This window comes from Homo sapiens, chromosome 14 (assembly GCF_000001405.40).
Source record: "Homo sapiens chromosome 14, GRCh38.p14 Primary Assembly".
Taxonomy (NCBI): domain Eukaryota; kingdom Metazoa; phylum Chordata; class Mammalia; order Primates; family Hominidae; genus Homo; species Homo sapiens.
The window spans coordinates 52,728,827-52,756,119 of NC_000014.9; the positions used below are offsets into that span (position 1 = coordinate 52,728,827).

Sequence of the window (27,293 nt, forward strand, 5' to 3'; positions counted from 1 at the left end):
TTGTACAGTTCTATTTCTATGTGTTGGCAGTGCATTTTATGTGACAAAAAGTAGAATGTAGGGGGAGGTTTAAGTCAAATATCTATGTGATCTTTTCACTTATAATTTGCATTTAGTTAAGGAGTGACTATCTTGCCTTTTACCTTTGTGCTGGCGGTGGTTTTTTAAAGAATCAATTTGGTGTACAAATCCTTTCTTTCTTTTTTTATTTTTGATTTTTTTTGAGATGGAGTTTCGCTCTTGTTGCCCAGGCTGTAGTGCCATTGCACTATCTCAGCTCATTGCAACCTCCGCCTCCCGGATTTAAGCGGTTCTCCTGCCTCAGCCTTCTAAGTAGCTGCGATTACTGGCATGCGCCACCACACCCAGCTAATTTTTGTATTTTTAGTAGAGACGGGGTTTCTCCATGTTGGTCAGGCTGGTCTCAAACTCCCGACCTCAGGTGATCCACACGCCTCAGCCGCCCAAAGTGCTGGGATTACAGGCGTGAGCCTCCGCGCCCGGCCCAAATCTTTTCACCATGGGTTTACAGGCATAACGCCACCACACCCAGGGAATTTTAAAATTGTTTTTTAGAGAGGGGGGTCTTACTATTTTGCTCAGGCTGGCAAACTCCTTTTAAAAGATATTGAAAGCCATCTGGTTTATTATTTTTATTTCAAAATATAATAATGGAAGAAATTTTACAGTATTATATACAATTTACTGAGTCAGCTATCAGTTCCTTTTTCTGATTTTTTTCTAGTTGCCATTCTTGATATTTTCTAGGTAATCTAAACTGAGTTGTATTTTCAAGTACTCTTAAAATACTTTAAAAAATTTTAAATTGAGCCGTTTAATTCTTTGCTTAAAGGTGATGGGTATTTTATTTTCTGTATGGCACCACGTGATTTTAAATTGAACTCTTCATTTATTAGTCATTTGGTTATAAACTCAGCATAGATTGCGCAGAATTTTGAGAGGGGAGAAACTATAGCTTTCCTTTCGGATGCCACTGGTGGGTAGCCTGTTTTGCCTGTTTGTTCTTATGTTAAAGAAGGGCTCTACGTCCTGTCTGGAAAGGGCGGAGCTGGCTCGGACCGCCCCACTGCCTTTCCCAGGACCTTCACTCGTCCTGTCCCACCGCAGCCCCGCCTCCTCCACGCCGGGTGAGCTGTGGCCTAGCAGCATCCGAGGCTCCGCCCCCCCCACCCCCAAGCGTCTGCGCTCTAGCGAAGGGGCGGAGCAGGGCGGTGGCGCGCTGACACCTGGCGGCGGCGGAGGGCGGGCAGAAGGCGAGCGTGGGCTGGGATTGGCTGAGGCGACGCGGGTGGAGGGGGCGGGAAGGAGGCGGGGAGACGGTTGTCGGGCTGGTTCCTGTGCTGGATCCTGGGCGGCCTGAGGGGTACGGAGACTCTGGGGGAGGGAGACGGCAGCGGCATGGCGGCCGGGTGTAAGACGCCCGACCCTCCTCTTCCCTGTCTTCGCCGCCGCCGCTGCTGGAGTCACTGGGACCCTGTAGTCTGCGTGTGTTAGTTGTAATCCCGCCGCCCTCCTGTCAGCCCTCCGCTCCGCCGGCCCTCCTTCCTTCCGCCGCCGCAGCCAGCCCGAGGGTCGGCCGGCTGTGTAACACTCTCCCACCCCACCCACCAGCCCGCGGGCCAGCACCATGGAGGACGTGAAGCTGGAGTTCCCTTCCCTTCCACAGTGCAAGGAAGACGCCGAGGTGAGTCGCTCCCGTGGCTGCCACGCACAGGCCTCTCCCTGTGGCTCCGGCCGAGGGGCGACCCCAGTCCCCAACCGTCTTAGCCGCCACCTGTACGGGCGCCCTGCCTCCTAAGGGCGTCCCGGGACCTCTGAAGCCGAGCGGTCGGCTCCAATCCCCACTGAGTTGCTCGTCCTCTCCAGACCCCGCGGAGGGGCAGCGTCTGGTGTACTTACATTTGAGAAGAGGAAAAGCAATCCCTTAGTCCCTAGGCTTGGCATCCAGGACTGACCTGGAGTAAGGTTCCTCTTTTATTGTCAAAGTAACAAGAGAGCGAAGTTGGTTTAGTCTCCTTTTGAGGAATATCTGTGGTGTAAACGATTCACTTGTGGGACACATGGCCCCACATGTGAAATAGACTCGGCGCCTGAAGTTTGGAAGCGCGCCTTCGAAAAGTTTCCCAAAGTTTTTTGTTTGTTTTTAGACAAAGCTATGACCCGCACAACAAAGTGTCTCAAAGCTAGCTCATCTTAATCTGAGAACTCTTAATCAGAAATCTTGACCTTTGGAGGAAAATTAATATTGAAAGTAAAATACTATATACCTTTTCTCCTGGTTTCTAATTTGTGGCTATTTTTACTCCACCTTAGATCCCTGCCTGCTGTTTCTACTCGGATTTTTTTTCATCTGTTGCTAGTTTAACATTTTACGGCATTGCAGACTACTAAATTAGAATTTTCTGGAGGCTAAATTAACAAGACGAAGATACTCAGCTATACTTTAGTAGGATTAAGAAAGAAAATCTAACATCGCTAGTTAAAAATACCTTTAAAGTAGTTGGGAAAAATAAAGCCCTATTTTTAGGAGACCATTCAATTTATTCCGAATATTTATTCTATTGAATATCTTCATTGGAGGTTCACTTTTTTTTTTTTTTTTTTTTTGAGACGGAGTCTTGCTCTGTCGCCAGGCTGGAGTGCAATGTGGCGCGATCTCGGCTCACTGCAACCTCCGCCTTCCGGGTTCAAGCGATTCTCCTGCCTCAGCCTCCTGAGTAGCTGGAACTACAGGCGCGCACCACCACGCCCAGCTAATTTTTGTGTTTTTAGGGGAGACGGGTTTCACCATTTTGGCCAGGGTGGTCTCGATCTCCTGACCTTGTGATCCGCCCGACTCGGCCTCCCAAAGTGCTGAAATTGCAGGTATGAGCCACCGCGCCCGGCCTAGGTTCACATTTTTGTTTGGAGGGCTCTCTTGTGGTATTGATGCTTGACAATTACATTTGTTTTAAGAGTAGAGACTTTGTTTGTGACTATCACTGTTGCAAAATGTAGTGCAGTGGTGTGATCTCGGTTCACTGCAGTCTCGAACTCCCATGCTCAAGCCATCCTTTCACCTCAGCCTCTGGAGTAGCTGGGACCATGCCGGGCTAATTTTTCTTTTTTTTTTTTTTTGTAGCGATGGGTTTTTTCTCCAGGCTGGTCTCGAACTCTTGGCCTCAAGATCCTCCCGCCTTGTCCTCCGAAAGTGTTGGGATTACAGGTGTGAGCCACTGCACCTGGCCCAAGAATATACTCATGGTTTTTTTTTTTTTTTTTTTTTTGACACAGAGTTTCACTCTTGTTGCCCCAGGCTGGAGTGCAGTGGCGCTGTCTCAGCCCACCGCAGCCTCTGCCTCGGGTCCCGGTTCAAACAGTTCTCCTGCCTAAGCCTCCTGAGTAGCTGGGGATTACAGGCGCGCACCGCCAGGCCCAGCTTTTTTTTTTTTTTTTTTGAGACAGAGTCTCACTCTGTCGCCCAGGCTGGAATGATCTTGCAGTGGTGCGATCTGGGCTCACTGCAAGCTCTGCCTCCCGTGTTCACGCCATTCTCCCGCCTCAGCCTCCCGAGTAGCTGGGACTGCAGGCACCCGCTACCACACCGGGCTAATTTTTTTGTATTTTTAGTAGAGACGGGGTTTCACCATGTTGGCCAGGATGGTCTCAAACTCCTGACCTTGTGATCCGCCTGGCTTGGCCTCCCAAAGTGCAGGGATTACAGGCGTGAGCTACCGCGCCCGGCCAATATACTCTTAGAAAACAGGAGGTCATATTTAGGCTAGTTATAAAAATGAATTTATACTTAACATACAATAATGTGAATGAAGAGTATGCTTTTATTTATTTATTTATTTTTTTGAGACGGAGTTTCACTCTTGTTGCCCAGGCTGGAATGCAGTGGCGTGATCTCCGCTCACTGCAACCTCCGCCTCCCACGTTCAAAAGATTCTCCTGCCTCAGCCGCCTGAGTAGCTGGGATTACAGGCGCCCGCCACCACTCCCGTCTAATTTTTGTACTTTTAGTAGAGACGGGGTTTCACCATGTTGGCCCTGCTGGTCTGGAACGCCAGACCTCAAGTGATCCGCCTGCCTCGGCCTCCCAAAGTGCTGGGATTACAGGCTTGAGCCACCGCGAAGGAGTATGCTTTCATATCCTCAAAATGATTCAGTAATTTCAGCACTTAACTGCAAGCAACCTTACAAATAATGTAGAGGAGTCCCACATTCCAGGTGAAGAAATTGTACCTTACTGAAAATAAGTGATGTGCCAAATTAACAACACAGTAGCACAAGACACAGAAGGACCTCGGCCTCCTAATTCATTGTTCTTTTTAATACACTTCAATTCTTCCCTGCCCTAATCTTAAAAATTCTAGTTTAAAATTTTCCCGGACTTTGCATTTAATCTGTTACTGTGTATATCATTATGTATGCCTTATTCCTGCAAAACTGATAAATTCTTGCTGGGAATATATACCTGTCTTTTCTGTGTGGGACTTGAAAACACACTCTTTTTTTTATGCTACCAGATGTGTGGGGGTTTTTCCATACCAAGCAGTTTTCCAGCAGGCATGAACTGAATGTCCCATAATTCAATTCTGACACATATGTACCTGAAGTTAGTCAGATCCCACAGGTTAATGGCTCAGTCCCGCAAGGCTGCCCCCAACCTCAGATGGTAATCACAAGTAGTAGGTTGTCACCTATACACTCCTGACTGACTGTAAATCAGGGTTCCCGTTACTCCCTCCTTGGTTCAGTTAACTTGCTAGAGTGACTTACAGGACTCAGGGAAGTACATTTACGGGTTTATTATAAAGGATACTACAAAAGATCAGTGAACAGCCAGTAGGAAGAGATGAATAGGGCAAGGTATGGGGGAAGGGGCACACCACCATCCCAGTGTCACCAGTAGAGTCATGATTGCAAGCTGTCCAGGTTCTTGGCGTTTTGAACAAAGAATTGGACAAAACTCCAAGCAAAGAAAGAATGAAGCAACAAAAGAACAAAAGCAGGGATTTATTGAAAACAAAAGTACACTCCACAGTGTGGGAGCTGCCCTAGCAGCACTCCCCCCCGACCCCCGCTGCTTTACCGAATCTTCTTGGGTCCAAATACCCCCTAGAACTTTCCCATTGGCCATTCCATGCTCACCTCATGTAAATGAAGAGGTGGCTTGCAATTGGTCTGATTGGTTGCCAGACCCACCCCCACATCAGTCCGCTTGGTTGTGGACAGCGACCATTCAGTGGCTAGAGTGAAGTTACAAAGTTGCAAACGAAGATTCCACCCGCAGTCAGTCTGATTTGTTGAGGACAGCCAATTTCCCGTCTACTGTGCAGAAAAGGTAGGTGGTTTGCAACGGGAGTAGCCTCTGGTCCTTTTGTTACTTAGGCGTGGAAAGTTAGGGTTTTCCCTTCAAGTTAGTTCTGGGAAGTCGGGGTGAAACAGCCTTAGATTCCCTGCCTCCAGACCCTATTCACCTGCCTCACTAGCACCTCCAGTGTTTTCATCCAGAAGCTCAACAAATCTTATTCAACGGTTTTTATAGAACTTCATCTCCATCCCCTCCCATAGAGGTGTGTGTGTGTGTGAGGCTGAGAGTTCAACCCTCTTGTCACATGGTCTTTCTGGTGACTGGCCCCACCCTAAATCACTTCATTAGCATAATCAGGTTTGATCAAAAATAGTGGCTCATAAATAACCAAAGACACTCCTATTAGAAAATTCCAAGAGTTTTAGGAGGACTGTGACAGGAACTGGAGAGAAAGACCATGTATTTCATATTATATCACAGGGACAGAGGTAATGGTTAAAGCTAGTGGATAATGATGCAAGTATTGTCTGCTGAAAGCCAATTCGTTCCGTATTTCTTAATATTGCATGTTTGGTATCTTTTGGTTGCAAGCAACAAAAACGAATTTAAGAAAAAGAAGAAGTAATTAAATCCGGCCGGGCGTGGTGGCTCACGCCTGTAATCCCAGCACTTTGGGAGGCCGAGGCGGACGGATCACGAGGTCAGGAGATCAAGACCATCCTGGCTAACACGGTAAAACCCCGTCTCTACTTAAAAAAAAATTAGCCAGGTATGGTGGCGGGCGCCTGTAGTCCCAGCTACTTGGGAGGCTGAGGCAGGAGAATGGCATGAACCCGGGAGGCGGAGCTTGCAGTGAGCCGAGATCTAGCCACTGCACTCCAGCCTGGGAGACAGAGCGAGACTCCATCTCAAAAAAAAAAAAAGTAATTAAATCCAGAAGGGTAGTGGTGCAGCTAGTTTCAAGGATTTGACCAAACCCAGGTATTATAAAGCATCAGAACTGCCTTTGTCTCTCATGAGTTCTTATCTCTACTTTCTCTCGGAGTCTCTGCTTTCTCTCTGGCTTCTCCAAGATGTGAAGCTTGGCCATCTGGGGTCACACCTTTATGAGCTTGGTTATTGAGGAATAAAACTGAACACTTCCAGCTTCTGTGTTTGAAATCTAGAGGAATTGCCCAATTTAATTCATGTTCCCACACTTTGGATCAGTCACTGTAGCCAGGAAAGGGCAGATACAATGAGGGGCCCCATCTAGGTCATATCCCTAATTCCTTGGCTAGAGGAGTGAAGTTTATTGTTGGTAGCCCTCCCACCAAAACCATAGGAACATTTCCACAGGTAGAGGGTACTTTCTGGGCTGATAAAACTATACATAGGGGCCACATAAATAAACTATTAAATAGGAGCATATAGTTATTCATAATAAACTGACTAATAAGCACTGTTAATTTTCTAATCTCCAGTGAGATAATGTAAAGTGTCAAATGGTCTTAAGTAGTTAGAGTGATCAGCCAGCATTGTTTCTTTGACACAGGGAGCACTACCTGGAAATCCAAATTACAGACCAAATTTAATAAAAACTGAATTCAAGCAGAGAGTTCAGGGAATGCTTTTAATGTTAATGTGATCAAGCTATGATAGGTTGATGATTCTGTCACCTCTACAAGAATATTACTTTCACGTTTCTTGAAATATTGGTATTCTTTGTATAGGACAGTGCTAACAAAAATTTAGATCAGTCAGTTTGTGAAAAGATTGTTACTTTTTTTGTTTAAAACTTTTTCATGAATTTCCATTGTTTTGAAGATGAAATTTAAACCCTTGACATTATTTCCAGGGTCCTGTATGGTCTGACATCTGCATACCTCTCTAACCTCATTATGAGCTACTCTTCTTGCTCCTTTCTCTGTAAGCCCTAGCCATATTTATCTTCTCTCAGTTCCTGGAATGCTTTAATTTCCACCCCCCGCCTTCAGAGCCTTTATGTTTGCTATTTTCCCCTGCCTTGGCTGCCAGCACCTTCCTTACCCTCACCTAATTAACTGCTTACCCTTGGGTTAGATCCCACTTTAGGCAACATTTCTTCAGAGAAGCTTTTCCTGTTTGCCAGTTTCTCTAACTCCTTTCCTCATCCTCTAGACTGGTTCAATTCCCCAGCTACTATGGCACTTGGTACTTTAATACTTACCTTTGTAACATTTAACAATTTTTGGTCATTGTCTATTTTCCATTTAGACTGAACCTTTCATAAGAGAGCTTAGATATTAGGAAGAAGGAGTAGCTGATAGTACCAATTTTTAAGCAAATTGGTTGTAGCTGGGGCTATTGGTTTTATAATTTAAAAGTTAATGTTTTATCTTCTCTTCTGACAGAAAGTGAAATATTTATTTCCATTGCAGTTTAGCAACTTTCCATGTTTCCCTTTCCATTTTTCTTGTGAATCCCGTAGTACAGGATCAAAGATAGGAATTATTTAACATACATGGCTGAGGATTCCTTTTCTAGCTCCTTTATTTAGAATGGTGCTTTTTAACCCTTACTCTAGAGTAAGGAATTTTTTAAAAATACTGATGCGTGGACCCTACCAGCACCTATTGTAGTTTAATTTATCTGAATGAAGCTAGATGATTCTAATGTTCAGTCAGGTTTAAAAATTGCTGGTTTAGAAAATATCTTACTTGAGTACTCTTCTGCCCCTCCAGTCCCTGCCCACCTTCTCTTTTTATTTGAGTGAAACATTTTCTTTTCTCCTTTGATTTAAGCAAAGCTCAAGCTTGGTGTGGGAATGAAAGGAAAAGGACTTTGGAGGGATTTACCTATTTTTTCTAGGAGAGAAAGTGCAATACTAACTTTTCTGTTTTGTGGAATGTCCCAGTGCAAGTCTAGTATTCTGATGTTTTTTTTCTTCCCCAAACTGTTGCCCCCCACCTCCAGCCTATGTACAATTTGTGTTTTATTTTAGTATTGTGTATATAGGATTCAGCACTATCCTCAAATGTATGAACATATCCCCTGTGGATAAGGGGGGACTACTGTATTTGTAAAAGTTCATATTTCATATTTCAATGCATATAAGAATTATTTTATCTAATGGTTACAGTCTATATCCTTCATTGATGTGTTTATTTGAGGGTCTTTGAACATTTTTGTAACTTTTCTCTATCCAAATGCAGTTTTATAGATCATTTTTATGGAAAGGAAGGAGATAATTCGGAAGGATGTTTTAACATGTGGTACTTTCTACCTCATGTTGATCGAAAGATTTTCACTTGTGAATTAATTTGTCTCAGAATCATGGTGTTTCACAATAGAGGGTTATTTTGGTTTATCTGGCTTGCCTTGGTTTGGTTAATGTGGTTGAACTGCTTGGCTACTCATAAAGTTTGGGAAATTGATTTCTACTAATTAATTACAATAGTAACTTAAAATAGATCATTGCTGGTGATATGGAGATGCCTCCATTAATACCACGGTTTCTAAAATGATAGATTTCAGGAGTAGTGTGAGCAGGCTGAGATTAAGAATTAAGTGTGATAGTGGCAAGACTTGGTTATTAGACGTGTGTTCAGACGGATGTGTGGTAGAAGAAGACTATGAGCATTCAGACTTAAAATCTTGGTTAGTAAGATCCATAGACAGGCAGGGTTTTTTTGTTTGTTTGTTTGTTTTAACAGGTTGGAGTGCAGTGGCAGGATCTCAACTCACTGCAAGCTCCGCCTCCCGGGTTCACGCCATTCTCCTGCCTCAGCCTCCCGAGTAGCTGGGACTACAGGCGCCCGCCACCATGCCCGGCTAATTTTTTGTATTTTTGGTAGAGACGGGGTGTCAACCATGTTAGCCAGGATGGTCTCGATCTCCTGACCCTGTGATCCACCCTCCTTGGCCTCCCAAAGTGCTGGGATTACAGGCGTGAGCCACTGTGCCCGGCCAACAGGCAGGTTTAAGGTTTGTTCTGTAGGTGGTAATCTGGGTTAGGGCAGCAAAGAAGGTGGATTCTGAGATCAGCATCTGATGATAACACCAGGAATAGTTCCAAATGAACTTTTCTGTGAGAGAAAGCTTTCTAGGTTTCAAAGGATCCATACCTATTGCAGTAATTACTAATGTTCTCTGAAGAAGGCTTCTTATCTGTCCTGTGACTAGGAATAATTTTTCATTCCCTCCTACTATACAACTTGCTTTTCCCTCTTATAATATCTTCCATATATATATATATCTCAAGAGAGTCTTTCATGTTGTATTACATATAACCTTATGGAAAGCTCAAAAGTTCTTTGAAGCCTCTTGTTTTGCTAAAAGGTTCAGGTAAATTTTGCATTCTATCCCATATGTGCCTGTTTGTTTTAATATAAAAATTGTTTAAATTAGTAACCAGTGAAAATACTGTTTCTCCCTAAAGAATTTTTTTGATAAAATTGATACTTCAGTGGCTTTGAGTGTCTTTTGGCATATTGCCAAATGAAGGTGTTGAGGAAATGCCACTCCAAAATATGACACCTTGATATATTGATTACTTTAAGTTGGAAACACTTGCAAAGTAGCAAATGCAAAGAAACACTTTCTCTGAACTCCTGTTACCTACCTAAGGACAGATCCTCCAAAAGAAGCTCAGTTTGCTCCTAGGGAGTTTGATCAACCAGGGAAGATTGTCTCTTATCACTGGAGAGGAGAGTAAAAGTCAGCACCACACCCAGACAAACTGACACAAAGTATCATCTATTATTATTCTAAGGGCCCATTTATCTTTCTCCAGAATTGTTCTTCTAAATTGCCTGTATACCTCTACCCCCATGCTATATAAAGGGTATATAAACTCCTAAATATCACTTTTTTTTTTTTTGTATACACGTTTCTTTCCTGTGATACCCCCATGCACATAATGAATCTGTATACCTTTTCTCCGTTTAGTTTATTTCATAGACTGGTTTGAAATATCACGGATTTTGTTTGTTTTTGGTATACACTTTTTAAAAATACCACTTTTTTTTTTTTGGTATACACTTTTCTTTCCTGTGATACTCCCATACACATAATAAATTTGTATACATTTTCTCCATTTAGTTTATTTCATAGACTGTTATCGAATCCTGATGGTAGAGGGAAAGTCTTCCTTGCCTTACACAAGTATTTCCCAGAATATATTTACACCATTCCTTGATATGTGTTGCCCTGTTTTTTTTTCTTTAATTACACAAAATTTAGTGATTTCACTTTAGATAAATTCAAAAGTACTCATTTCTTTAATTGATTTTCTTCTTTATCACAGCTCTGACAAGTTGCTTCAGGAAGATAAGGCTGGCTGTTAGACTACTTGAGAATCTTTTAAAAAGAAAAAAGTCAATAACATTTAGTGCAGTAGATCTCTGAAATGCATCTATTTTGTGCTTATTCTGTGTCAGGCACTGTGCTTATCATTAGGGGTACCATGACTAAAAAGAGTATTTGGCCTAAAGTCTTTAAAAACTGTTTTCTTTTTCCTTTCTTTCTTTTTTTTTTTTTTTTTTTTTTTCGTTGAGATAGGGTCTGTCTCTGTTGCCCAGGCTGGAGTGCAATGGCACCATGATGACTCACTGCAGCCTCGACCTCCCAAGCCCGAGTGATCTTCCTGCCTCAGCCTCCCAAGTAGCTAGGACCTCAGTCATGCACCACCACCGCACCTGGCTAATTTTTTAATTTTTGTAGAGATGAGGTCTCCCTATATTGCCCAGGCTGGTCTTGAACTCGGGCTCAAGCTATCCTCCTGCCCCAGCCTTCCAAAGGGCTGGGATTGCAGGTGTGAGCTACCATACCTGGCTAAAAAACTCATATATAAAAAGATTACCATAACACATTGGTAAGTTAAAGAATCTAGGCTGGGCGCGGTGGCTCATGCCTGTAATCCCAGCACTTTGAGAGGCCGAGGCAGGTGGATCATGAGGTCAGGAGTTCAAGACCAACCTGGCCAAGATGGTGAAACCCCATCTCTACTAAAAATACAAAAATTAGCCAGGTTTGGTGGTGGGCGCTTGTAATCCCAGCTACTCAGGAGGCTGAGGCAGATAATTGCTTGAACCTGGGAAGCGGAGGTTGCAGTGAGCTGAGATCGTGCCACTGCATTGCACTCCAGCCTAGGCGACAGAGCGAGACTCCGTCTCAAAAAGAAAAAAAAAGTATCTAGTAAACAATTACATTTCCCTCATTGCTGGCTTAGAAATTACATGCTTTATTTCTATTCTGTTAATATCCATAAATTAGTCATTATTTTATGCAGCCAATATTTGTTTAATTGTAACTGTATGTTTGCCGTAAAGTTCATTCTTACATTGAAAGACTGTATAGTATATTGATTCAGAGAATGAACTCTGGGTTCAGACTCTCTGGATCCAAAATCAAGTTACTTAGGTTCTCTATGACTAAAATAGACAGTGATAGTATCCCTTCTTCAAAGAACATTTTAACTTTTTTTCTTTAAAGATATTTTTCCGAGCATATATTCTTAATTAACAGTTGTTTTTGTCCTGCCACTATGAATGAATTATTTGTGTCCTCTGGCTTCTGTTCATGCAATTGAGAAGTCAGTGTCCATCTGATTGTCCTTCCTTTGTGTGTAATCTGTCTTTTGTCTAGTTGATCTTTTTTAATAAAGGTAAAATTTATATAGTGTAATGTACAAATAGTAAGTGTGCAGTTCATTGAGTTTTGATGAACATACACTAATCCACCCCATCAAGATACAAGAACATTCTATTAGCATAGAAGGTTACATCTATTTCCAGGCATTTCCTCTCCCATTCCACAATAGGAAACCAGATTTCTATCAACATAGATTAGTTTTCCTTGCTCTTGAACTTGATACAAATGGAATCATGCAAATGGACTCTTTTGTGTGTGGCTTTCTTCACTGAGCATAATGTCAATGAAATTCATCCATGTTGTTGTGTTTATGAGTACTTCGTAGACTTTTATCCCTGAGTACTACTATTCCTTTGTATGAAGAGACCATAGACATTTGAGTTCTTTGAGACTACAATAAATAAAGCTGCTATAAATATTCATGTATAAGTCTTTGTGTGGATATATGTTTTTATATATATATATATATATATTTTTTTTTTGGTAAAGCCTAGGAGTGGAATGGCTAGATATTATAATAGGGTAGGTGTATGTTTACCATTTCATTTTACATTCCCACCAGCAATGTGTGAGAGTCCCAGTTGCTCCACATCATCACCAGCATTTGGTGTTGTCAATTTTTTTAACTTTAACCATTCTAATGGTAGGTAATGATATCTTTTGATTTTACTTTTGAGTTTCGTGTGTGTGTGTATGAGAGATGGAGTCTCACTCTGTCACCCAGGCTGGAGTGCAGTGGTGCAATCTCGGCTCACTGCAGCTTCCACCTCCCAGATTCAAGCAACTCTCCTGCCTCAGCCTCCCGGGTAGCTGGGACTACAGGCGTGCCACCTCCATGCCTGGCTAATTTTTATATTTTTAGTAGAGACAGGGTTTCACCATGTTGCCCAAGCTGGTAAACTTCTGAGCTCAAGTGATCCGCCTACCTCAGTCTCCCAAAGTACTTGGTAATTTACAGGTGTAAGCCACCGCACCTGGCCTATTCACTGATTTTTAATTTCAATTATACTTCTTATTTCTACATATTCTGTGTTTTTAAAAATCAATTTCTTAGTCTGGTCATATTTTGATACTCTAATTTCTTTAAATTTTTTATATTTTTCGTTATTGCTTATAATATCTGCAGTTTTGTAAGTGTAACTCAGTTGTTTCTGCTTCCTGTGGTGGCTCATTTCCTGTTTTTAAATTAGTTTTTGATTGTGAGCTTGTTGGGACTTTATCTGTGTGAATTATTTCTGATCTAGGTTTAAGGTGTGTTTTTCTAGAGAATATGCATTTGCTTCTTCCAGGAATCCAGGGATGCAATCTACCCAGGACCACTTACATTAAATTCTCACTTGGCCTCACAAAAGTAACTGAATTCTAACCCCAAACTTGAGTGGATGCCAGATTGTGGTTAGGAAGACCCCACTCCACCACTACCAATACCTACCCAGAGCCAAAGCTAGGAAGGACAAGAGTACTCACTTCTGTGGGATGAGTTGAGTTTTTGTTTTTCTTTCTTTCCCTAGTTTATCTTTCACTGAGGATGTTGCCTTTGGGAGTTCTAGCTTTTTGGTCTTGATCTGAGTTCGACTTTGAGCAGATCATAGACTTTGTCTTATGTTTACAAGTACGTTTCCACTTAAAATAAGGCCGTAGTGAAGATGTAGAACAACTAGAAGTCCCATACATTGCTGGTGGGAGTGTACAGTGGTTTTACAAAACTTTTGGCAGTATCTAGTAAAGCCAAACATAGGCCTACCCTGTGTCAAAAGACAAAATTACAACAAATTTAGCTTAAAAATCTAACTCACTTTTATTAGTGGTTCATGAATCAGGCAGTGTGTCATCAAAAGATTTAGAAAAGGCATTTCAGTGTGCTGAGCAGAGGAAGTTGAATTTATAGGCAAAATCTAGCTAAATAAAGCAGAAATGAAACAAAAAGTGGATTGGTCATTTCAAAGTTAGTTTCTTTATAGTATTAAAACACAGGGGACTTCCTTATGCTGGCTCAGGATAACTGGCCTCCTTCTGATTGATTGCTATGAATCTTTTGATTTTTTTTTTTTTTTTGAGATGGAGTTTCACTGATGTTGCCTAGGCTGGAGTGCAATGCCACGATCTCAGCTCACTGCAACCTCCGCTTCCAGGTTCAAGCGATTCTCCTGCCTCAGCCTCCCAAGTAGCTGGGATTACAGGCTCCCGCCACCATGCCTGGCTAATTTTTGTATTTTTAGTAGAGATGGAGTTTCACCATGTTGGCCAGGCTGGTCTCAAATTCCTAACCTCAGGTGATCCACCCGCCTCAGCCTCCCAAAGTGCTGGGATTACAGGTGTGAGCCACCGCGCCCGGCTTTTTGATTTTTTTAAACTGTCATTACTCGGGGTTTATAGTCTACTACTATATTGCTGAGAACAGTTTTCAAGATTAAAAATAAAAATGTTTTCTGTTTCTCTTAGTTAAAAAAAAAAACCTGTCTCTCATTGTAGGATTATTATTCTCTCTTTTCATTATAGATGTATACTATTTCTACCTTCTGTGTTAAAAATACTTTTCTGGGCCGGGGGCAGTAGCTCACTCCCGAAATCCCAGCACTTTGGGAGGCCGAGGCGGGCAGATCACGAGGTCAGGAGATCAAGACCATCTTGGCTAACACGGTGAAACCCCGTCTCTACTAAAAGCACACAAAAAAATTATGGCGTGGTGGTGGGTGCCTGTAGTCCCAGCTACTCGGGAGGCTGAGGCAGGAGAATGGTGTGAACCCGGGAGACGGAGCTTGCATTGAGCCGAGATCGCGCCACTGCACTCCAACCTGGATGACAGTGTAAGACTCGGTCTCAAAAAATAAAAAAATAAAAAAAATACTTTTCTGACTTAGAGAATCTGGGTGAAGGGTAAATGGAATTCCTTGTACTATTTTTGCAACTTTTCTATAATCCTAAAATTGTTTCAAAATAAAAGGTTAAAAAAATATTTTCCAGACTACTTCAGAAACCTAATTACTAATAATAATTCTGAGTTTTAAGCAACCAACTTAGAAACTTTTGGAATGCAGTCAACCCACTGACAAATGAGGACTATCTGTACTATAGTATTTTTTTAGACGGGGTCTCAGTCTGTCACCCTAGCTGGAGTGGTGGGGTGATCTCAGCTCATTGCAACCTCTGCCTCCCAGGCTCAAGCGATCTTCCCACCTCAGCCTCCTGTGTAGATGGGATTACAGGCAGGCTCCACCATGCCCAACGAATTTTTTTGTATTTTTAGTAGAGAAGGGGTTTCACCCTGTTTCCCAGGCTGGTCTCAAACTCCTGAGCTCAAGCAATCTGCCTGCCTCGGCATCCCAAAGTGCTGGGATTACAGACATGAGCCACAGAGCCTGGCCTTTTAGTCTATTTCGATTCTTCATTTCAATTCACTATACTTTTTTTCTAAGTTTTAAAATATTTTTTATCTTTTACCATTGACATTTTGTGTTGTTTTACAGCTTCTTTATATTGGTCTGCATTCCAAAGACAAAATGAAGTCTCTTATGTTTTGTGATATGTGTTAAAATAATTGAACTAGACAAGAATGTTAGGCCCAAGTGAGATGAAGGAAAGGCTCTTTGATAAGCATTTGGCATTTTAGATCAGAGATGGCAAGTACGTATGACATAGCATTCTTCTTTTATCCATTTCAGATATTATTTGTTGATCAGACACTCTTCTTCCTGTCTTGGACCACACAGTGTTTTAGGTATCTGCTGTCAGTTGATTAGAGTTGGCATGAGAAACAAAAAAAATCTATTGGCATCTCTGACTTAGAAGATCAGTTTTGGGAGAATCTTCTGGAATATCTATTCTATTCTTAAGTTTAATGAGTAATTTCATCCATTTTATGAAGTAACATAACAATTCTGGAAGCCTAGTTATTTAAAGAATGCTTTAAGCTTTGTTTCTTGTCACTTCAATTTTCAGATGTTTGTGAAACCAAGTCTGCTATTTTAATAAAATGTTCTTAAAGTATAATGTAACTTTAAAAAATCTACATACTTGTGTGTCACATCTTTAGCCTTTAATTGGGTGACTTTTTAAATGTTATCTACTTTTATTCTTATGTTTTCCTTCCCAGGAGTGGACCTACCCTATGAGACGAGAGATGCAGGTATGGCAACCTTTTCTTTGTTCAAACCAACCCATGTTATTATCATAATAAGAACCTTAGTTTATAGGATTTGAGACCTGCTGATTTCATGATCTGTAGGTTCATCATTATGTATTTTAAATAATTATTTTAAATATTTAAGGTTAATCTTGGATCTTAAAACGATGGGAAATTAGAAAGAGGAACGTAGTAATAGGTGTATGTGCTTAATGAGTCACTTTCTCTTGGTTTTTTTTTTGTTTTTTTTTTTTTTGAAACAGAGTTTCGCTCTTGTTGCCCAGGCTAGAGTGCAATGGCACGATCTCGGCTCACCGCAACGTCCACCTCCCGGGTTCAAGTGATTCTCCTGCCTCAGCCTCCCGAGTAGCTGGGATTACAGGCATGCGCCACCACACCCAGCTAATTTTGTATTTTTAGTAGAGACAGGGTTTCTCCTTGTTCAGGCTGGTCTCACACTCCTGACCTCAGGTGATCCAGTGACCTCAGGTGATCCACCCACCTTGGCCTCCCAAAGTGCTGGGATTACAGGCATGAGCCACCGTGCCTGGCCAATGAGTCACTTTCTTTTTCCTCACGTGAAAAATTGGATACTTTCTTTGTATTCCTTTTGAAAGCAGTTTGCTTTCTCTGTTTGTCTAGATAAGTTAGGGAGAGTTGTCTGTACAGCAAATAAGCATTGTTCATTTTGTGTCCGATTTTTAATCAACTTCCACAATTAAGTCTTCTAGAAGATCAAATTGAATACTTTCAGTTTGGAATGAATTAAACGATAGCTAACCCTCATAGCAGTTCATTTTCTTTTGCATTTCATACCATTTACCGTCAAGTCTGTTTGCCCCAGGATTAAGCAGTATCTTGTTCCTGGGAATCCCATGACTTCTAAAAATCTGTTACTTTTCTCTCTTAATGAAAGTTCACTTTGAAAAAATAGGTGAGTACCTATGAGGCATTTTACTTGGTGTTAGGAGGAATGCAAAGATGACTAAATGTAATTTCTGCCCACAAAAGCCTGGTGGAAGAAATCAGTTTTATATACAAATAATTATGACTTATAGAACTGAACTATAAAGTTACTGTTAGTATCTAGGGTATGATATATCCAGACTGAAAGCTTTCTGTATTGAATTTACATAAAATAAATTTGAATTCAACATCTGGAAGGTACATACTTGTTGAAATTTTGTCAACTGGCAAATATTTGAATTTGGAATTTTTATGTTACAGTAATAATTTGCTTCTATTAACTATAGATAATAGTTTTAGGTCAGGCACAGGAGTTCATGTCTGTAATTCCAGCCGTTTGGGAGGCTGAGGCAGAAGGATCACTAGAGCCCAGGAGTTCCTTATCAGCCTGGGCAACATAGTGAGACTTCGTCTCTATTTTTTAAAGAAAAAAAAAAAGATTAAAAAAATAGATAATAGTTCCAATCTTGTTGTATCTTGTGCTGCTTTTGATTTGGCCAAATAAGGTTTGTCTTATTTATATAGCCTTATAGATTTAAATTGCTGATGGTAAATACCTCAAATTTTTTTTTTTCTAGGAAATTTTACCTGGATTGTTCTTAGGCCCATATTCATCTGCTATGAAAAGCAAGGTATGAACTTTGTTAGATTCATCAAGAGAGACTTTTATTAACCAACTTTTCTTGGGTAAGTTTTTTAGTAATAAAGAGTTTTATTTTAGGGAGCATCCACAAATACTGTCTGTTAACAGTAATTGTCACTCTGGAGTACCTTCCTCTTTCCCTATTTTACTAGACCAGTAGTTCTCAAGTGTTTCACCACAAATCAGAGTTTTTGTTTTTTCCTCATGAAATTTGTATGTTTGAAAGATTTACCAAATAACTGACCTTTAATAACTTATTTACTCTCTAAAACACTAGACATCTGTAATTGCTAATCATAGCTTCAGAACAATATGAGATGTAGTTAAAGCCCAAAATAAGGAATTTCAATGTTTAGTTAAACCTTCCTTATCAAGGGTAAGACTGTGTGTGTTAATTGAAAGTCATTCACCTTAGTTCTGTTTTGCCAGCCAGACTTTAGAGAGCTAGTTGGTATCCCCGCTCTGAAATTTGAAACTTTTTGAGCACCAGTATGTCACTCGAAGGAAATCCTCACTGGAGTATTTCGGATTTCGGATTTTTGGATTAGGGATGCTCAATTATAAGTATAATGCAAATAGGCAAAACAAACAAATCCAAACTCTGAAATATTTCTGGTCCCTGGCATTTTAAATAAGGGATATTCAATCCGTATAGATATTCTACATAGTCAAACTTTAATGGACTTACTCAGTTGCAGTTAAAATAGGTAGATCTCATTTTAATAAATATAGCAATGTTCTTGCCACTTCTAAAAGATTCAATGCTACTAATTCTCTTTGAGTTACAACGTGGAACATATCATAGATGTCTTTCCCCAATACTTTGCCTATTCAGAAGTCAGTATACTTAAATTGTGTTTGATATATCCATAATTTAATTTGATGTTCTTAGGAATTTAACCGGTTTTAAAAGGTCATTGATTTTGAAACTGGAAGATTTTTTTGACAGTTGAGACATGGCTAAGAGTAAACCTGGTCATCTTGATGATTTTTGCTTAGTTGGAAAGATAGGGAGTTAGTAAAAATAAGTACTAGGGAAAGGATAGGGCAGGTAACTATAGACATAGCCGTAATTTATTTTGTAAAAGACAGATGTAAACAAGGTTATTGTCCATATAATTTGCTATTCACCAAGTACTAGTCTTCCAGATGGTTTTAGATAATTTACATTTTTGAAATTCCCACTGTACTTTATAAATATACATACAGTATTTATCACATTAAATTAAAGTATTTGTTTAAAGGTCTATCTCCTCAATGGGAGGCTGAGGCAGGCGGATTACATGAGGCCAGGAGTTCGAGACCAGCCTGGCCAACATGGCAAAACCCCGTCTCTACTAAAAATACAAAAATTAGCTGGTTATGGTGGTACACACCTGTAATCCCAGCTACTCGCGAGGCTGAGGCGCGAGAATTGCTTGAATCTGGGAGGTAGAAGTTGCAGTGAGCCAACATGGCACCACTGTACTCCAGCCTGGTTGACGGAGTGAGACTTTGTCTCAAAATGAAACAAAAACACGCACAAAAAAAGGTCTAGTTCTTCAAAACTTCTTTTCTTGAAATGTCACCATGGTCTTATTAGACAGGAAAAGCCTCTGTGGCAGTTTATTTCCCACCCTAGGTAACCATAATATAGCCCATATTTCTTTTCATACCATTATCTAAAAACAACAACAAAAAATAATAATGGAGATAAACCTAAATGGATAAACTCCTTTTTAAACACTCATTTACTGTTATTATTTTGTGGGAGAGGAGTGGGGTCTTGCTCTGTTACCCAGGCTGGAGTACAGTGGCGCGCTCTCATAGCTCACTGTAACCTCAAACTCCTGGGCTCAAGCTGTCTTCCCACCTTAGTCTCCCAAGTAGCCAGGACTACGGGCACACACCACCATGCCTGGCTTAATTCTCAAAGTTTTTGTAGAGATGGAGTCTGGCTATGCTGGCCACATTTACTTAAGTATATCTTTTTATTAAATTCAAATACAGTTTAAATAAAAGGGACAAATTTAGGGCCTTTGTAATTAGTAAACGGTTTGTTTTTGTAAAGTTTTTCTACTGTTTTTAAATGTGAGGTAAGGTCATAATTTGCTTCATATTAGGTTGGTGCAAAAGTAATTGCAGATCTGCCTCTGAAAAGTACAAAATCTATTCGCTGTTACGTTAGGGCTCTATTTTGATAGTTTATTTTTATTTAGTAGTAGTCTATTGGGCCTTCAAAACTTGTTTAAGCATATTTATACATAATTATGTGCATCGTCTTGTGCTTTCTCACATTCATAAAGTAGATAGGAAAACTCCATAGGCATCAAGTGTAAACGAAGGACTTAATGTTGAATTTGTTGTGGAAATTGGCACAAATCTCAATATAGAACATTGGTTAATTATTAATCTTACCAAATGCTTATCTCACTTTCCCTAACTCAAGTTATACTCAAGAAATACAAAGATAATTGAATTCTAATCTATGCTGACATAAAACTTGCTGCAGAAATTAACACTTAAAACTTGCAAATTATATTGTCTTAGCCCAGGCTGCTCAAACAAAATACCATAGACAGGGTGGCTTAAACAACAGACGATTATTTGAGTTCTGGAGGCTGGCAAGTCCACAGTCATGGTCCGGCTCTGGTGAGGACCCTCTTGCTGGCTCGCAGATCCCTCCCTTCTTGCTGTATCCTCACACGGCCAAGAGAACGAGTTCTTGCCTCTTCTTACAAGGGTACAATCCTGTCATGGAGGTTTCTACCCTCATGACCTCAATCTAAAACTGATTATCTTCCAGAGACTCCACCATCACATCTTGGGGGTAAGGATTTCAACATAAGAATTTGAGGTGATGCAAACATTTAGTTCATAACACATATAAATTATTTTTTTTTACTTTGCTCATGAATTATTAGTGCTACTGTTTTGTACTATTTAAAATGCAGAAAATGGGAATTAAATATATAGGATTTAAAACAATGTGTCAAGAAATTCAAGGTTATCTGATTCTCATGCCATCGTGACTTGTTAGTTCATTTATTGAACAGGTAATTATTGAACAACTTAACTAGTTATACATACTTGATACTTAAGTGAATTGTATTATACATTTTACACATACTATGTATCAGTGAACAAATAAAAATCTTTTCTGTCATGGAACTTAATGCTCTAGGTAATAAAATAACATCTATAAACTCACTTAAACTTATCACTAGCAAATGAAAACTTATTATCTGGTAATTTCTAGAATTGTCATGTTAAATTGCTTTAAGTATGGAGCCAAAAGCACTACAGGTTGAGTATCCCTAATCTGAAAAATCTGAAATGCTCCAAAGTGAAACTTTTTGAGTGTCAGCATGACAGCACAAGTGAATTCCACACCTGACCCCATGTAATGGGTCACTGTCAAAATTTTGTTTCATGCACCAAATGACTGTATGAAATTACGTTCAGAGTATATATGGTGTGTGTGAAACATAAATGAATTTTGTGTTTAAACTTGGATACCATCCCCAAGACATCTGAGTATGTATATGCAAATATTTCAAAATCTGAAATCTGAAACACTTCTGGTCCTACCTTGGGACCAGCATTTTAGATAAGGGATACTCAACCTGTATTGAATATAATAAGATGTCATTGAAGTTGCCATTTTTAACTTCAGGAAAATTTTTAAATGGTAAAAGGTTAATTAGATTCTGTGAAGTATGTAAATTAATTCTGACTCTTAAAGTATACTGGGAGAGGCAAGGAGTTGTCTAGAGATTTGGGTTCCAGTACTGCTGTTAACTAGGTCGGTGATGTCCAAGTATTTGGTAATGTAACTGTTTTATGTCTTAGTGGTTCTCTCTAAACAATAAAGATTGCAGTCAATATATATTAACTACCATTTATTAAACACTTGCTGTGTGTCCCAGGTGCTATGCCAAACATCTTACATAAAGGTTCCATCAAGCTCTAAAATTGTAGGTATGAAATATCCCTGTTAACCTTTTGAGGACATTAATGTATTAATCTTGAATCATTGAAATATCTTGCTGCCCACTTCAGGTATATTATAAAATTAGCTTTAATTCCCTGGACTTAAGCAGAGATGTGGGTTCTGTGTATTTTCAAACATCTGTGTTATATAGTAAGATGATGTTTGATATTTTAAAATATTTATCTTCCCTGTCCTCCCCCTGCTTTTTTTTTTATACAGCTACCTGTACTACAGAAACATGGAATAACCCATATAATATGCATACGACAAAATATTGAAGCAAACTTTATTAAACCAAACTTTCAGCAGTTATTTAGGTAAGAATTATTGCTATGATTTGTAAAACACTTAATGAAGTTTCATTTCAGGTTTTGTACCATCAGTTGTTTCTGTACATATCTAGTTTGTAAAAATGGGTCATATAGTACATAGTTTTTTAAAATAAATTTTACTTAAAATACTTAAATAAATTATGCCCATAATGCAGAATTCTAAAGGTTCAAAAGAGTGTATATTGTCAAGAAGTTTCTGGGAAAGTAAAAATAAAAAAGAATTTAAAAATAATGTATACTGAAAAATAGGTTTTAGTGTACATTATTTTATCTCTTGAGGGATAAAGGAATTGAGTATCTAGGGGATAGGTTTAGGGAAACAGCATCTACTGTTACCTCTTTATTGGGTAGTTTTTGAGTGTTAGGTTAAATTTATGAGCATAGTCTTATAGATAAATTTTTTTTTACATTGGCTTTCTTTTTTACTTTATATTTTTTGGAGATTGGTTTATATCGGTATGTATATCAAACTGCTTATTCTTTTTAAGTTGCATTGTAATCCATTGTATGGCTATACTAAAATTTATTCAATTAGTCTGTTAGATATTTAGATTGTTTCTGGCCTTGTACTAATATGTATAGCATATAGTGACTATCATTGTACATATTACTCAATTTATATGTGAGCATATTGATAGGGCTTATTTGCAGAATTGCTGGATATAAGAGTATGAACATTTTAAATTTTGATAGATGTTGCAGATTGTTTTCCAGTGCGTTGTATCAGTGTACATTCCCATTATCAAGTATGTGAGAGTGACTCTTCCCTTAGTATCTCTCCAAGACGGAATTGTGAAACATTTTTAATTTCTCAAAGTCTAATGGAGTAAAAATGGTATCTCATTTGATGTTCTTATTTATCTTGTAAGTTCAGTTGAGCATGTAATGGTTTTTAATGTTCTTTATTTTAACTTCATTTTTAAAATAGAGTATATTACGCATGGTACAAAAGTGAAAGGATATGTAAACATATATAATGAAAGTAACTCTACTTTTTCTCTTAACCCAAGCCACCTTGCTCCTATCCTGGGAGGCAGCTTCTTCCTTCAATATCTATGTAAAAGTATATATGTTAAAAATATTTTAGGCCAGCACGGTGGCTCACGCCTGTAATCCCAGCATTTTGGGAGGCCGAGGTGGGCAGATCACCTGAGGTCAGGAGTTCGAGACCAGCCTGGCCAACATGGCAAAACCCCATCTCTACTAAAACAAAAATTACCTGAGCGTGGTGGCACATGCCTGTAATCCCAGCAGCTCAGGAGACTGAGGCAGGAGAATTGCTTGAACCCAGAAGGCAGAGGTTACAGTGAGCCGAGATCACACCACTGCACTCCAGCCTGGGCAACAGAGCAAGACACCGTCTCAAAAACAAAACAAAACAAAACAAAAAAAAAACAGCGCTGTGGCTTACACCTATAATCCCAGTACTTTGGGAGGCTGAGGAGGGTGGATCACGAGGTCGAGATTGAGACTGTCCTGGCCAACACAGTGAGACCCCGTCTCTACTAAAAATACAAAAATTATCTGGGCGTGGTGGCACATGCCTGTAGTCCCAGCTACTCAGGAGGCTGAGGCAGGAGAATCACTTGAACCTGGGAGGCAGAGGTTTCAGTGAGCCAAGATTGCCCCACTGCACTCCAGCCTGGCGACAGAGCAAGACTCTGTCTCAAAAATAAAAAAAAAAATTTAATGCTCTGCTTTATTTTTACAATGAAACCAATCTATAAATATCTGTAAATACAAGATACATACTCTAAAATACATTGTGTGAACATATAATAGAATACTATGTAACCATGAAAAAGAATGAAATATATGTATGTGTTTGGATTTGGGATGATCTCCAAGATAATGCATTACATGAATAAAGCAGGGTGTGGAACAATGTATATATTTGCAATGTGTTGAGTAAATATATATATACTACATTCCATATATTTATTCTTAATATATGCATAGAAAATTTCTGGACCAAGAGGCTAGAAACTTCATAGTGATTGCTTCTAAGAAGGAAAATTCAGGGCCTGTGATGGTAGAGGGACGTATTTTTCTTTCGTTTTTAATTTTGTTTTTTTTTGTTGTTGTTGTTTTTTTTTTTTTTTTGAGATGGAGTCTCACTCTGTCACCCAGGCTGGAGTGCAGTGGTGTGATCTTGGCTCACTGCAACCTCTGCCTCCTGGGTTCAAGCGATTCTCCTGCCTCAGCCTCCTGAGTAGCTGGGATTACAGGCATGTGCCACCACACCCAGCTAATTTTTTTTTTTTTTTTTTTTTTGGACAGAGTTTCGCTCTGTTGCCCAGGCTGGAGTGCAGTGGCATGATCTCGGCTCACTGCATCCTCCGCCTCCCAGGTTTAAGCAATTCTCTGCGTCAGCCTTCTAAGTAGCTGAGATTACAGGTGCCCACCACCACTCCCAGATAATTTTTTTTGTATTTTTAGTAGAGACGGGGTTTCAGCATCTTGGCCAGGCTGATCTTGAACTCCTGACCTCTTGATCCACCTGCCTCAGCCTCCCAAAGCACTGGGATTACAGGTGTGAGCCACCGCACCTGGCCTAATTTTTGTATTTTTAGTACAGACGGGGTTTCACCATGTTGGCCAGGCTGGTCTCGAACTCCTGACCTCGTGATCTGCCCACCTCGGCCTCCCAAAGCACTGGGATTTACAGGCGTAAGCCACTACGCTCAGCCGAGGGACATATTTTTCATGGTACCCTTGATATCCATGGGGGATTGCCTCCAGGAACCCCCATGAATAACAAAATCCTCAGATGCTCAAGTCCCTTATATAAACTGGTGTAATATTTGCATATAACCTGTGCACATTCTCTCATATACATTAAATCATCTCTAGATTACTTCTAATACTTAGTACAGTGTAAGTGCTGTGTGAATAGTATTGGATTTTATTTTTATTATTTTTAGTGTTGTATTTTACCTTATTTTTTGTTAATGTTTTTTATTGTTGTCGGTTGAATCCACAGGTATGAAATTCTTGGATATGGAGGGCTGACTCTTTACTTTTGTAGTGTTTTTTTTTTACACCATATTTAGTTTATTAAAACTAGTTATTAAAAAGGAATATCCCAAAACACTGATTTTTTTTTTTTTTTTTTTTTTTTTTTGAGACAGAGTCTCGCTCTGTCATCCAGGCTAGAATGCAGGGCTCACTGCAACCTCTGCCTCCCAAGTTCAGGCAATTCTTCTGCCTCAGCCTCCTGAGTAGCAGAGATTACAGGCATGTGCCACCACGCCTGGCTAATTTTTGTATTTTTAGTAGAGACGGGGTTTCACCATGTTGGTCAGGCTGGTCTCAAACTCCTGACCTCGTGATCCGCCTGCCTTGGCCTCCCACAGTGCTGGGATTACAGGCGTGAGCCACTGCGCCCGGCCTGAATTTTTTATAATTATGAAAGAAATACTTTTTTTTTTTTCAAAGATAGGATCTTTCTCTGCTGCCCAGCCTGGATTGCATTGGCATGATTTCTGTTCATTGTAGCCTTGACCTCCCAGGCTCAAGCAATCTTCCTGCCTCAGCCTTCCAAGTAGCTGGGACTACAGGTGCACCACCGGATCGGGCTAATTTTTTTTTTTTTTTTCTAGAGATGGGGTTTTGCTGTGTTGCCCAGGCTGTTCTTGAACTCCTGAGCTTAAGCGATCTACCCACCTCAGCCTCCCAAAGTGCTGGGGTTACAGGCATGAGCCACCACACCTGGCCATGAAACACTTATTCTTTATAAGTACTTCGGAAGGTATAGAATGACACCAAGAAAAATATTTAAATCATCTACAGTTCCACAATTCAGAGAAAACACTTTTGTTAACATTTGGAATATTTCCTTTTAAATCGTTCTCTGTTGTGTATGTGTATTTACGTATATATGCATAGAATTATTAAAGAAAATGAGAATGTTGTATTTTAAAATATCAAACTATATAAGGTGAAACTAATCTTAAGAAAAAACAAAAAAGCCAAAAAATCATACTATTCATTTCTAATGTGTACAGACTTTTTGTTTTAAATTATAATGTTGTTTGTGCAGGTTCTTTATCCTAATGGAAGAACCATTTCTCCTTAAACTTTTACAATACTAGCTTCTTAGAGATTGATAGTTCTACTAGCAGTGCTTGACACTGAAAATGTTATGCGTTAAAATATTTAATTTCATTCTGAGTTAACATTTTTCCCCTGAAGCATTATTTTATGTAACTGGAATACCCAGTCACTTCAGGATACAGTCATTGTCGAAATCCTTGTAGGTTAAATATTGGATTTTCCTCAGATCCTGAGGTTCAGCTTCTGTGTTTTTTTTTGTTTGTTTTTTTGTTTTTTTTTTTTTGTTTTTGAAACAGAGTCTTGCTGTTTCACCCAGGCTGGAGTGCAGTGGCACAATTTTGGCCCACTGCAACCTCTGCCTCCCGGGTTTAAGTGATTCTCCTGCCTCAGCCTCCTGAGTAGCTGGGATTACAGGTGTGCACCACCATGCCTGGCTAATTTTTATATTTTTAGTAGAGATGGGGTTTCACCATGTTGGCCAGGATGGTCTTGAACTCCTGACCTCAGGCAATCCACCTGCCTCGGCTTCCCCAAGTGCTGGGATTACAAGCATGAGCCACCATGCTCAGCCTCAGCTTCTCTGTATTAAAGTCCTGAATTCTTTGAAGTTGTTACCACCTAAATGATCATTGAAAAACTGTATTTTTTAGTGCAAAATTGTTCTTAAAACTAATTTAATAACTTAGCTAATTGCCTATAGTTGTGTTAATAAACAGTGGTCTTAGAAACGCTTAGAAATGGAAGTTTTTTACAAAAATAAGCTAACATATTTAAAATGCCTTTTAAGTATTTTGTAAAGTGTAAAATTCAGTACAGGTGCTCTCTCAGCTAGTTTTTTTTTTTTTTTTTTTTCCCCTTTACTAAAGATGAGTTCAAACAGTGAATGTTTGACTCCTGGTTCCATAGACCATACCTTCCGTTTTTATTTGTTCGTTCTCTTAGACTTTGGACTTCCTCTGAAATGTCCTCTGTAGGTTCATGAGCAGGAGTCACAGGACCACTTAGAGAACAATCTTCTGGTCTTAGAGAAATTGGTAGAAATAAAAGAATAACATAACGATTACAGGTACTTTTGTCTTTATTTCTAGGTCCACTCTAATCTAGAGGAATGTATCTTCCTGCTTGTGATTTTTCTATTTTAACCAGATGGTTCATTATATGCAAATAAAATATGTATTTATTTTTGAGATAAGAATCTTGCTCTGTTACCCAGGCTGGAGTGCAGTGGCCCAATCACAGCTTACTATATCCTTGACTTCCAGGCTCAC

At 39.8% G+C, this 27,293-nt stretch overlaps 1 protein-coding gene across 5 annotated transcripts in view, besides 4 other annotated features; it reads left to right on the forward strand.

Annotated features, from left to right (window-relative positions):
• Positions 1,025-1,484: a silencer, noted in NCBI's record as "silent region_5747". NCBI's record gives its function as "represses an Ori minimal core promoter by ATAC-STARR-seq in GM12878 lymphoblastoid cells {active_cell/tissue: GM12878}" and the evidence as "EXISTENCE:reporter gene assay evidence [ECO:0000049][PMID:35858748]".
• Positions 1,340-27,293, forward strand: part of STYX (serine/threonine/tyrosine interacting protein) — a 44,824-nt gene continuing 18,870 nt past the window's right edge. For 2 of the 5 annotated variants that reach the window (XM_047431731.1, XM_011537109.3), the window contains exons 1-3: positions 16,020-16,058; positions 17,600-17,708; positions 21,857-21,954. Coding sequence is in view for 3 of the 5 variants with exons in the window: in NM_001130701.2 (NP_001124173.1) it covers positions 1,649-1,705; positions 16,026-16,058; positions 17,600-17,653; positions 21,857-21,954 (242 nt within the window). In the remaining 2 variants the exon portion in view is untranslated. Of the gene's footprint in view, positions 1,706-6,018; positions 6,053-16,019; positions 16,059-17,599; positions 17,709-21,856; positions 21,955-27,293 lie in introns of those variants that run through there. The other 3 variants (NM_001130701.2, NM_145251.4, XM_011537108.2) reach the window with 3 other exon arrangements.
• Positions 1,555-1,634: a silencer, noted in NCBI's record as "silent region_5748". NCBI's record gives its function as "represses an Ori minimal core promoter by ATAC-STARR-seq in GM12878 lymphoblastoid cells {active_cell/tissue: GM12878}" and the evidence as "EXISTENCE:reporter gene assay evidence [ECO:0000049][PMID:35858748]".
• Positions 5,085-5,379: an enhancer, noted in NCBI's record as "tiled region #400; K562 Activating non-DNase unmatched - State 17:Gen3'". NCBI's record gives its function as "activates a minimal TATA promoter and a strong SV40 promoter by Sharpr-MPRA in K562 cells {active_cell/tissue: K562}" and the evidence as "EXISTENCE:reporter gene assay evidence [ECO:0000049][PMID:27701403]".
• Positions 23,102-23,253: a silencer, noted in NCBI's record as "fragment chr14:53218646-53218797 (GRCh37/hg19 assembly coordinates)". NCBI's record gives its function as "represses an EF-1alpha promoter that drives an FKBP-Casp9 reporter gene in an ReSE screen in phorbol 12-myristate 13-acetate-treated (for megakaryocytic differentiation) K562 erythroleukemia cells {active_cell/tissue: K562(+PMA)}" and the evidence as "EXISTENCE:reporter gene assay evidence [ECO:0000049][PMID:32094911]".